This window comes from Homo sapiens, chromosome 12 (genome assembly GCF_000001405.40).
Source record: "Homo sapiens chromosome 12, GRCh38.p14 Primary Assembly".
Taxonomy (NCBI): Eukaryota; Metazoa; Chordata; class Mammalia; order Primates; family Hominidae; genus Homo; species Homo sapiens.
This window is the reverse complement of record NC_000012.12, coordinates 20,726,702-20,739,970: the sequence shown is the minus strand read 5'-3', so window position 1 is coordinate 20,739,970 and position 13,269 is coordinate 20,726,702. Positions and strand designations below refer to the sequence as shown.

Genomic DNA, 13,269 nt, shown 5'->3' with positions numbered 1-13,269 from the left:
TAATCCTGTACAACAATCTCCCAGCAAATCCTGCCTAATCTAACCATACCTTACCTCCTTCGCTACCACTTCCAATGCTAAGTAACCATGATTTCTTGCCTAGATTGTTACAATGCTCCCTTTATGCGCAACTTGTTTCCAATCTTATCTAGCTAGTATCTGCTTTCCACCCAGTAAGTAAAGTGAACCTTTAAACATGGCAGTCAGACTGCATCACTACCCTCAACCTGCCAGTGGTTTCTCATCATACTTGCATGAAACCCCACATCCTTATAACAGTTTACACTTTCTCCATCATGTAGCACCTGGATGCCACTCTAATCTCACCATTCAGTGATCTTCCCTCTCTTCTTCTGTGTAAGCCACACACATGACCCTTGCAAAGGCCCCATTTTGCCCTTTCCAAACATCCCCTCAAACCTGGCAAGTTCATCCATGCCTCACGGCCCTGCTATTTTCTCTGCCCGGGCAGCTCTTCTCTTCGGTGATTACACAGCTGGCGTCCATACTTTAGTTCTCCGTTTAGAGGTTTTAATAGAGACCTTCTATGACTATCCATTTAAAAAAAAAAACAAAAAAAAACAACTCCCATCTCTCCATCTTCTTATTCTAATGTATGTCTTTTTTTTACAGTGCTTCTTACTACCTATCAGGATATCCTGTATTTACTTATTTTTAAAACATACTTTCCCAACAGAATGTAACCTCCATGAAAGCAGAAACTGCTGCTTTGTTATTATGCAACTGGGGAATGGAATAGACTCTCATTTTAGGCATTTGATAAAACTTAGTTAAGTAAATGGGAACAATTTGAGGATATGACATAATTTACAGTGGCTATGAGAAAAAAATAATTCTGGTGCATAAAACTCAACTAAATTTTGACTGAAGAGAGACAATTTGTATAACCCCTCAATAGTTTATTTCTGTAAATTTTATTTATGAATGCATATATATAATGTTATCATTTTTAATCACAAAAGAGTTTGTGAGTTTTTAGACCATAAATAAAGCTGGCATTTACTTTTCTAGAAAGAGTGGCAATATAGATTTTTTGTAATGTCAAGTTGAAACCTTTGAATCTTAATTCTGGTCGCTCACTAGATAAATGAGTTAAGCAAGTCCTTTGTATCTCAGTGCCTCAGTTCTCACATGAAGAAAATACTGAAAATAATGCAAATTATTTCAGGACCATGAGATTTAAATGTAATTTTGTTCTTTTAACACCAATCTTTAACCTTTCCTTGTAATGTCTTTTATAAATGGTAGCTCTCATTACAAAAAAACCTTCATGCAGCTGTGAGCAAAAATAACAGTAGCTGAAAGAAAAATAACAAAGGAAGAAAGCAAAGAAAAGAAAAAAAGAGAAGCATGAAAACATGTTTCAGATGAGTAGGTAGTCTTATTCATTGTTGCTAGAAACCAATCCTTTCTGCTGTAAATAAGTCAAAATAATAATACAATGAACAGAGTAAATTAACAAACTTAACTGTATATCTGTGGATATACAGCCTAAGTATTCATATCCAGTTGATAAGGATATATAAATAAATGAGATACATGGGTGGTCTAATTTTCTGCCCTCTAGGATTGTCAAATAAAGGCAAATTTAATCAGTCACAAATAGAAAGCAGTCTCAGAGAGCAAGGATAAGGAAGAGTCTGTTTGGGACAGGAATGGAAAGGTGTGCTGAGAAGGGTGAATCTGTTAATGATTGAAGTACTTTACATCCTTCACAATTGCTTTCTGTTAAGGATTGAATATTTTCCCAAAATTCATATGTTGAAATCCTAACCTTCAATGTGATGGTATTTGGAGTAAAGCATTTAGGAGGTAATTAGTTCATGAGGGTGTAGCCCTCATGAATGTGATTTTAGTGCCCTTATAAGAAGAGACAGGAGACCTGTCTCTCCCTGTCTGCTCTCTGCCATGTGAGGATAAAAGGTGAAGATGGTCATCTGCAAACCAGAAAGTGGGTCCTCACTAGGAACCAGTTCTGCTGGCACCTTGATCTTGGACTTCCCATCATCCAGAACTATGAGAAATAAATGTTTGTTGTTTAAGCCACCCATTCTATGGTATATTTGTTATAGCAGCCTGGACTGACTAAAATAGATTCCTACCTATATTTCCTACCTCATCTCCCTCTTCTGCCCTATGGAAACCCTCCATTCCAGCCCACCTGCCCTTTCATTATTATACAAATTGGCTTGATTTTCCAAAGTTGTCCTAGAACCATCAACCTCCTCATTATCAGATCCCTGACCCCAAGGTCTAGAATCTCTGGAGCTAAGCCTCCTAATACTGGCCTCTATTTGTTCATTCCCTAAAACCTCCAAGGACCACGGATCTTAGGGCCAGGGGACATGGATCTGAAAGCATATCTTATTATGATGATCATACGACAGACATTCTAATTCAGGGCTAACACTTCTTATAAGCAAAATGAGAGAAATAGACTACATAATTACAAAATCTCTTCCACCCTATTTGATGACTCTAATTCTCACCCTAATTTTTTCAGCAACTCCAGTACCACTAGGAATGGTTATAACATTTTCTTTTTCTACAAAAAAGGACCAGGCAGAGGTAAGAGGCAAGCCTCCTACTAGTAGTGGTCTGCTGTGAGCCCCCATAGAGTTTTGTTGTTTATATTGTAACAGGACCATCGCCATATACTTGAGAGGTGATTTCTTACAATATTTTTTCCACTCCTGTTGGAGGTTTGACAACCAGCAAGACAAGCTGATACATATGTGATTCCATTTTCACCGCACATGGGTTCCCATTTTGTCTCTGAACATTTGCATCTTGAGTTGCAATCTGAAAAGAGAGCTCGTTCATGATAAGAGACAGGTTTGGTTCTGAAAAGAAATATAACAATATAAAATATTACCTCTTAGCAGGTAGCACCCGAATATTTTCAAAAAATCAATGTTCTTGAGTGATATAAATGATACTATGAACAAAATTTGCCTTTTAGAAACACAGTTGTCATCAGAAATGGCAGCTTCTGGTCATGAAATGTGAGTTTACTAATAAACAGCTTTCTCTTGAAAGTTATCTTTAGAGGTTTACAAATTCACATGATGTCCAGTTCTTAGCTTATAGCTTTCAGTCTACAGCCTCTAGGATCTTCTAATATACTTCTGTGCAAAGGTGTATAAAAATAGCTAACAAGGTAGAAAAGTAAACTTTTAGAGCAATTTATGACACTACTTCAATGCATCACAGGTGGGGTGTGTGTGTGTGTTGTGTGTGTGCAAATTTCATTCAGAATTGTTGTCTAAGTATGAGTGGAATGGATATTACTAATGGTCCAGTAAAAGGAAAAATAGCCAATCAGTTATCAGTTAATTCTCTTTCAGTGTTTGCAGGAGTTACATGTCCTCTTGCATGTGTGTAACCAACAAGTGCATTCCCAGTTCATTCAACCTTTCTCCTGTGTATCCTCCCAGTGTATAGTGCTCTTTCATATCTTATAGCATCCTTTCTTACTCAAATTCACAAGTAAGTTCAATGACTTACCCATTTATTTGTTGATAAAATTTTACTGGAAGCCTACTAAGTGCTAGCTCCGGGAGAATAGGAGATGGTTACAAACATTAATGAGACAAAATTTGCACCCCCCCCCAAAATTGGTTTTTTTGAGTTATTTCACAAAATTGTGATTGCATTCTTTCTTTTCTCCTTCATTTTTTTTTGTTCTCTGCCATTCGCTTTTATATTTATCCTTCATCTCTCCCAGTATTCTCTCTCCCTCACTTTTTTTTCTGTCACCTGAATGGCCTAATCCTTCTGCTTTTATCCTTTTTTTTGCTATTCATATTCCTCTACTCTTCTCAAAAGGAACTTTTGCAATGGTATGTCATTTCTATCTGCACCATATGTGCCATTCATTGGCCCTCCATACTTCATTTTTTCTGCTCCTTATTTTCAAATTTATTTATTTGCTTATTCCTCATATCTTTCCTCCCATTTTTTATAAAGATAGCTGAGGAGCTTAAACAAACAAAAAATACACTGAACTGTACAATCAAGAGAGGCAGGAACTATTTTTGTATTCACTCCCATATGTCCAGAACCAGGAATAATTCCTGTCACACAGCAAGCTAAGAAACAAAATTTCCAGTAAGTTAGTCAATTAAAAAATGGTACTTTATTTTGGAGAAATAAATTAATCACTTGAGCCTCTGCCTCTGAGAAGTATTGTCATTAATGATGGCAACCATAATTTCTTAATCAGTGTAATACTTCATCTAGTAGAACTGGTATGATGAATTTTGTCACCTCAAAAGTACAAACCAAAGACCTCTGAGATGTCTCCAAATAGTGTGAAAGGGTACTGAACTAGGCCTTCTGAGATGTGCTATAGGAATGTTTAATCCTATTCTCTTCCATAAAATTTTAATTGTTAACTGAGACTGTTTGTATTATCTGAAAGTATAAAACTGCCTTTTAAAGTCTAGAATCATTTAACTCTGGAAACTGTAGGGCTGAGATTATAGAAGGTTGGAGCTGGAGGGAACATTGGAGTAATCTATGCCAACCTCTTACTTGGCAGATCAAGGAAGTCAGCCCCTACGTGGGTGGGTAACATGCTCAAATTCACACTGCTTGCTAGTGACAAACCTGGAAACTGAACCCTGCCAGGTTTCTTGATTGTAAATTCTTATGTCCACATCAGAGTTGTCCTTGTTATTGCAGAAGAGAGATTTCTTCCATTATCATATCTAAGACTTGTCTTCAGTTTTCCTATTGAATATTCAGGTCAAGACAGCGTTTGGAATAAAGCAACATGGAAAAACCCATGGGAAACATTTTATATTTTATAAAGAAAAATACTTTATAGTATTGAAAGTTTAATTTATCATCAGGGGCAGGAATCATTGGGATACATCTTTTCTGAAGGATGTGCTGACAGTAGATTTGTAATTTAGAATTTTAATTATAAGACGAGTTTTAACAAATATGCCAGAATGTTTATGCCCAAATGAGATTTCCTTTCAAGATAGTTATGCTGAAAGATGAGAGCTTTTCCTTAAAGGTTAAATCTTTGCCCTTGTTAAGAATATTCTCAAAAATATACAAAGAAATTCAAAATAAGAGTCTTAGAATATTTTAAACAACAGTAGCATTACTGCAATACAATTATAGTCTTTCAAGGTGACTCCTTTGAAGAGGCTAGTACTCACTCAATGAAAATGTTACCTTTTATTTGTTTAAAATATTTAATCTTTGATTATGTAGGAATACTTTTAATGGGAATCTCAAAGTTTGCTTTTGTTGTCTGCTTTGTGTTTACTTTTGGCTTAGAAATTATGATGCAGAAAGAATGTTCTACTTTGAGTCACGCCTGTGTTCAAACCCCAGATCCATGCAGTTTCTTTTAAACAAGGATAACAAAACTAAACTCATAAAGGTGTTTTGAGGATATAATGAGATCATGAAAGTTAAGGTGTTTTGGAAATCACAAACTATAAAGTCCTCTACAACTGTCCCTCTACCGTGAGGATTTCTGGGACAGTTAAAGATGGCACTGGGCTTCTGCTCTCTCCAGAATCATCTTCCATTTCATTGTTACAACTAACATTCTTAATCCATATCACTGACTTTCACTAAGGCAGCACTACACTCAGCTGAGTCTAACAATGTGGCTGTGATAACTCCCAGAAGCCGTAATTTATGAACTTTGCATTCACCAATCTTCCTGAACATTGTAGATGGCCAAAACTATAACAGGCGCTCATTTAGCAGCAGATGAAACCAGGTTAATAAAGGTGATGGAAGTTGGAACATAGAGACAAGACAGATAAGCAGGGAAGCAAGAGTAGGACGGGAGATGGACAGCAGGCTGTAAGCAAGAAGCCACAGAATAGGCAGGAAACAGAATATAGTGTCAGGAGTGTTTGCTTTTGAGCCACAGGCAGAGTTTCAGGTGGCCAGGCAGATACAGTTGGGAAGGCCTTCCTGGCACATGATGGAGACTCGATAATTTTTTTAGAAAACAAATAATGCATATATAGGTGAAATGATGAAGAAAGTTACCTCTGGAAATTCATGTGAAGTGGTAGAGTGATGGGAAAGACTCTCAATGGGCAAGGGCAATATAGTTCCTACAAGATTCAACCTTGTATTGAGAGAGACTCTGGAAACCAAGCAATGTAATCACCCACCCCATACAAGATGAGAGGCCTGAAGGCATCACTAAATATTCTCCTGACCAATTGCAAGACACTCAGCTAAAGAGAACTTTTATGGGGAACACTGGGTTGAAGGACAGGCGTTGTTTCCTGAAACTTTACATGATTCAAGCACAACAGCAACTATGGAGGATTGCAAAGAGGTAACTCCAGTTCCTCAGATGTTCAAAGGAGGAAGAAAACAATTGTTTCCATGAATGGCACATTTAGCTTGTGTCAGGCAAGTAGCATTCACTTTCATGTATGTTAGCTTGCTTAAACCTTACAAAAGTTTAAAAGGTAGTTATTACTTCTGTTTTTAAGATGGGAAAATTGAAGTTGGATTAGTTTAAACCACATGTACATCATTTCATTAAGAATAGACAGAGGCATTATTCAAGGTTTGTATTTCTGCTATCATGTTGTTTTTCTAAATTAATCAGGTTGGTTCTCTAGTGTAAAATATGGGTTTAGCAATTTTTATATTTCTCTACAATCAAAGGAGATGATAAATTTTGGTGACAATAACAGATTCTAGGTATTGTCAGTTATTCCACAATAAAATACTAAGTTGCTTACCATAGTTATGATGTTTAAAAATCAAATTCCTTTTTTGCAACTCCACCAATAATTGATTTAATTAAACAAACCAATATCCTCAAACTATTTAATGAGGGAACATACCCTTGGTAGGAGACAGTTAGTCCTGCCACATCAGAATTTTCACAGCCCAGTGCAAACAGGGAAAGAAATAGGAGGTAACCAAAGACAGATGATCCCAAGTAGAGTTTTGCAGCTCCACACACACTGATTCTGAATTTTTTCATAACTATCCCCCCAGAGAATATTCCAAGGGCCACTGCTGGAATGTTGATGAGCCCTGAGAAACAAGAAAAATATATCATTTTGTGAATCTCTAAAAAAGATTTGAGTGTACTAACACAAACTTTCTAAAGACTATTTTGTCACTTTAAATTATAGAAATAGTCACTATCATCTACTGACATATACAAAGAGTGTATGATGAGTATCTAGGTTATAGATTAATGGTGGTACAACTGCACAGTCTCAGGTTCTGTCTAGCAGAGAGTATTAAATTAATAAATACCAAATGAATCAATAAATCTTTCTGGTCTTTCTGGTCCAATTCCAGCATTAACAAGTACAATTAGGTAGCAATTAGGTGCCCATTAATGTTCTTTAATGTTGTATATAAAAAATAATAGGCACATAGAATATAGAAAACTTATTTTTTAGTCTTGGTTTCTATTTTCTGCCTCCCGCCCTGGCAAAATTTGTTTTTGTTGATCCAGCTTGCTAGCTTTGAGTGTGGTATCCTTCCTAATAACAACAATCACCACCTATATTTACTTGCCTATAACGTACCAGCCACTGAACTAAGCATTTGATATGTTAATATTATCACACTGAATTTTCCCCACAACCTTAAGAGCAGGCATATTATTAGCCTCACTTCAGAGAGCTATTTGTTCATAGCCACACTTAGTAAGTGGGCAAACCAGATTTGAATGCAAAGAGACTGATGTCAAGTCCTATGCTTTCAATCACTGCTATGTTGCCTCTCCTTCAGGGGTTTGGGAAATAGTATCCTTGATAAATAGATGTACATTATCTTTTTGGATAGATGTGCAGCCTCACTAGTAATCTAATAACTGTGAGCTGTAAACAACACTAGGAAGAGGTTCAATTTAGTAGTTAAGAGCTTAGACTCTGGAGACCCAGCTTGCCTGGGTTTAGATCTCAGTTCCACCACTGAGTAGCTGTGCAACTGCAGGTAATTCTTTGAATGTCTCTAAACCTGTCTCCTCATCTATAATACGGAGCTAATAATAGCATTATTGAGGTAACTAAATTCCATTATTTGTGAAGAGTTATCAGCACAATGTTTAGTAAAAAAAAATGTCATGCAATTAATTTCTATCCATTCGATTTACAAAGATGAAAATATTGGAGGTGGGGTGGGGAATGGAACCCTTGTATTGCAAAAGACTTGGGAAAAGAGGCACTTTGGTGCCATTTGTTGGATTGTAAATTGTAACTCTAAAGAAGAACAATCTGGCACTCAACAATAAGTAAATTCTCTGCTAATTAGAATTTATTTCTCATATTGTCTACCTATCAATCATTGATGTCCATGTTTTCTTGAGGTTTTGAGATAATACATCTCTTTCGAATAATAAAAGGGCTAAAGTTTGCATGTACTGTAGTCAATAGATAAGGTTCAAAGACAAAATCAGCATTTGCTGTAGTAAAAAATAATCTCAAGTAGCCATGTCTGACTTACAACCCCATGTGAAATTGTAAAATAAAAATGAAAACACTGACATCTAGTGATAATGACATGCAAATTTTCTTCTTTCTTTCCCTTTGTTTGTTCTTTTTAAGTTTATATATTTAGTTTCTTAACAAAGCATCACAGAACCTTAAATATCAACATACAATGGTCTTTGGCTTGCTATTACATTATTTAAAAAATATATATTGTGGGAGATCAGTCAGAGTGGCAGAAGAAATTATAGGAATAGAAAGAAGCAGACCCTCTTGGAAGGCTGGGGGTGGTTTGCATAACTTCAGATAGTTTGGCTGAAGGCAGCCAGATTCTCTTTTCAGGAGCCAGAGAACTTCAGGCACAGATACAAAGGAATATAGGGGAGTTTATCTAAATAGCTTATTTATTCATGTGGTCCTAAAATCAACCTTTGATCATTCACAGGCAGGATGGCCATCTCCGGGGTGGGGGCAACCAGGTTAATTACCCACAGGCGTGTTGACTCAAAGCCTTTGTCAATTAAATCTGTACTAAACAAATGCAAGCGTTGCCAGTCTGGAGGGGCAGCAAACTCTCTTGGGCCCCTAGTGCCGGCAGCCCCCTGGCCCACTGTTTCACTGATTATCGGTGTTTGAGTATGTGTCTCAGCCGTTGTGCAGCTGGGGACTGCAGGACAGACCCCCGCAAAATATTTCTAACATGTACAGATGATAACAAAGGGTCATTTTGTTTCATCTGTTTTTATTTGACCATAGGTTGTATATGTTAACATTAAAATTATCATATTAGAACTCAGCCCACCTTAAAGGGGGCATGATCATGAAGTCAGTCAAATGGAAAAGAGAAGAAATGCCAACTTTTGCTTTTCCAGCTGAACTGAGGTTGCTGGGTATGGCAAGCAGCAGAGATGAAAATCTGGAACCTTGAACAGCCAAAAGTCAACTTAGAGGCACCTGATTACTATTTCAAAAATAATGAATAGATTATAGAAAATATATCAACAAACCCAGTTATTTAGGACCCAACTTAATTAATGTTAATATTTTTTCCTAAATTTTCTGATTTTTTAAAATGTGGAAGTAGATAAAATTAGTTCTCCCTTTGTTTCAGGTTTCATCTTCTTTCTCCTGAAGTAAGTGCTGCTATGAATTTGATATATATCCTTGAAGTGCCTACTTTTACACACGCACATACATGCACTGAATATATAAAACATAGTACCTGACTATGAATGCCTTCCACAAAGCCAAAGCTGACACAAACAGCAGGGTCCTACATTTTCTCTCTCAATTCCATCCCCAAAATTGGTTTATGAATAAAGTATCTTCTGAAAACCAAACTCCGAACTGAAACCTTCAGAGCATGTTTCTAGCATTTTATTTTATTTTGTAAAGTACCAATTGAACCTGGACGTAAGAAGTAATAACACAAGGTGTAACCTTGTCTGTACCTATGTGCCGTATTGGATTCCATTGACCTCCCAGACCCCCAGCAGCCTAGAATAGCCTGAGAACTGAAATGGGATAATCCTAGGGACATCTGCACCCTCAGTATAAATTGTTAAAAATCAGGAATATCCTTTCCTGATTTACCTCTTTTTGGTGGCTAGTGTTTTCTTGAAACTTCCACAACATTTCATGTATTATCTTGACTCCAGATCCTTCCACACAAGATATTTGCTTTGACTGATAAAAACCTCTACCCTCTTTCTCACACTTTCATCTTTTAATACTTTCTTATCCTTTTCTCTTGATTTAGGTATCATCATCTTCTGCTTGAGAATTCTTCCTGGTTCCAAGATTAGGTTTGTTCTCCCAGAGTACTCTGAGCTTCCCCTAAGTAGAGTTCCTTCTCACAGGTTCCACCAGCCATATGGGGCTTCCAGGGGACATATTTGGCACCAGGGCTCAAAACTTGGTCATCAGAACCCCATTTTCTTGCTCATCAGGAGTTCCTTGTGCAGGGGCCCATAGGCAGCAGACTTGATGCTTTAACAGTTACCTGCTAGCTTTTTCAGTTTATGTATCGCACCCTCCAACCAAACCCTCAAAGGAAGAATGGCTAATTGAATTGAATCCCATGTTCTTTCAGTGGTTTCCAATAAAATGTGCTAATTGAATAAACCTTAGTGTATGTATAGCACTTCTCCTGCATATCTTACTCTCCTATTTCAAGATAACTAAATTATAACACAACTCCAAAAAAGATTAGTACATTTCAAATATAACGTTGGCTTGATTCTCCCTTTCAAATTTCACAGGATGTATTAAGTTGTCCATGGTGGGTCAAGCTGATAAAAAATTTCCTTCACATCATATAAGATGTGTTTCTTCCCTCCCCAGGCTTCTCTTTCATTTTAGGTATTTTTAAATCATTCAGTGAGATAGAAATTAAACTTTGATTTATTCTCCACCCACATCATAAAATGTGTTGATCTAAAAATTTTTACCATCTACCATCAAGGAAGTATTCCAAATGGAAATATTAATTTACACTAGCGTCTAAAATTTGTTTCAATTTATTTTCTGTGTTTTCTTTTGAATTCAACATGCATATTTACCCAGATATCAGAAAACCTTAGATACATTTAAGAGCTAATTTATTATTATATTGTTGTTACATTTTATTATATAATTATTATTGTTTTAGCACACTCATCAGGTTAAAGATTTTATTCCTTGATACTGATGTAAAAAGGAGTTATGAAGGATGTGTAAAATGTTTGAGATGGTCAGCACAATTACAATAGACTGCAAGCTAGAAACTTTGATTTCCAAACCGATGCCTTGGGTTGAAATAGTTATGAGTTATAATAATAATAATAGTACTTGGAGATGTTTTAGAACTTCTCTCCTAGTAAAGTTCATGTTATATCCTGGACCTTCACAAAAAAAAATAATGTTTTTTATAAGCAACTTTCCTTCAAATTATTCTCTTAATTTTTTCCTACTTGTCTGTGTAACACCTCCAAAAATTGAGAATGATAATCATTGTCATAAATGATAGTTGATATATCTTGTCTACTAGAGATCTTGTCTACAAAAAGCATTCTGAGAAATTATGCAAAAATGACTAAATTATTACAGTCTCTGTATTGAGAAGGAAAAGATAAGATCATTTGTATGTAACTTAATATTTATAGGAGAAGCTTAAATTGAAATAAAGCCACACACCTACAACCATCTCATCTTCAACAAAGCTGACAAAAACAAGAAATGGAAAAAGGACTCCCTATTCAATAAATGGTACTGTGGTAACTGGCTAGTCATATGCAAAAGAATGAAACTGGACCCCTTATCATCATCATATACAAAAATTAACTCAACATGGATTAAAGACTTATGGGTAAGAATTTAAACTATAAAAATCCTGAAGAAAGCCTAGTAAAAACCCTTCTCAGTATCACACTCGGCAAAGAATTTATGTCTTTGTCCTCAAAAGCAACTGCAACAAAGCCAAAAATTGATAAATTAATTAAACTAAAGAGCTTCTGCGCAGCAAGAGACACCATCAAGGAAGTAAAAAGAAATTCTACAGAATGGGAGAAAACATTCACGAACTATGCATTTGATGAAGATCTAATATCCAGACACTATAAGGAACTTAAACGAAACAACAAGAAAATAACATATAACCCCATTAAAAAGTAGACAACGGACATGTACAGACACTTCACAAAAGAAAACACGTGGCCGGGCGCAGTGGCTCACGCCTGTAATCCCAGCACTTTGGGAGGCCGAGGCGGGCAGATCACAAGGTCAGGAGATTGAGACCATCCTGGCTAACACAGTGAAACCCTGTCTCTACTAAAAATACAAAAAATTAGCCGGGCGTGGTGGCGGGCGCCTGTAGTCCCAGCTACTCGGGAAGCTGAAGCAGGAGAATGGCGTGAACCCGCGAGGCGGAGCTTGCAGTGAGCCGAGATGGCGCCACTGCACTCCAGCCTGGGTGACAGAGCGAGACTCTGGCTCAAAAACAAAGCAAAACAAAACAAAGCAAAAAACGTGTAAGCAGCTAACAAAGATATGAAGAAATGCTCTTCATAAATAATCATCACAGAAATGCAAATAAAAACCACAATGAGAAACCATCTCACACCAGTCAAAATGGCTTTTGTTAAAATGTCAAAAAATAACAGATGTTGGTGAGGCTGCGGAGAAAAGGGGATGCTTGTAGGTTGTTGGTGGGAATGTAAATCAGTCCAGCTATTTTGGAGAACAGTTTGGATATTTCTCAAAGAACTAAGAGTTTAACTACCATTTGACCTAGCAATCCCATCAGTGGGTATAAACCCAAAAGAAAATAAAGTATTCTATCAAAAGGACACATGCACCCATATGTTCATCACAGCTCTATTCACAATAGCAAAAACGTGGAATCAGTCACCCATCAACAGTGGATTGAATAAAGAAGTGGTACGTATACACCACAGAATACTATGCAGTCATAGAAAGAATGAAATCATGCCCTTTGCAGCAACACAGATGGAGCTAGAGGCCACTATCCTAAGTGAACTAACTCAGAAACAGAAAACCAAATACTACATGTTCTCACATATCAGTGGGAGCTAAATATTGGATACACATGGACATAAAGTTGGGAACAACAGACAATGGGAACTACTGGAGAGGGAAAGGAAGGAGAAGAGAAAGACTGAAAAATTACCCATTGGGTACTATGCTCACTACCTGGGTGACAGGTTCAGTCATACCCTAAACCTCAGCATTATGCAATATACCTTTGTAACAAACCTGCACTGTACACATACTCCCTATTCCAAAATAAAACTTGAAAAAT

The 13,269-nt window shown here is 36.7% G+C and overlaps 1 protein-coding gene across 4 annotated transcripts in view; it reads right to left on the bottom strand.

Annotated features, from left to right (window-relative positions):
* SLCO1C1 (solute carrier organic anion transporter family member 1C1) overlaps positions 1–13,269 on the bottom strand; it is a 58,055-nt gene that overhangs the window by 13,416 nt on the left and 31,370 nt on the right. For all 4 annotated transcript variants that reach the window (NM_017435.5, NM_001145944.2, NM_001145946.2 and 1 more), the window contains 2 exons: positions 6,867–7,062; positions 2,699–2,864 (listed from right to left, as the gene is read on the bottom strand). In NM_017435.5, coding sequence (NP_059131.1) covers positions 2,699–2,864; positions 6,867–7,062 — 362 coding nt within the window. The remainder of the gene's footprint in view (positions 1–2,698; positions 2,865–6,866; positions 7,063–13,269) is intronic.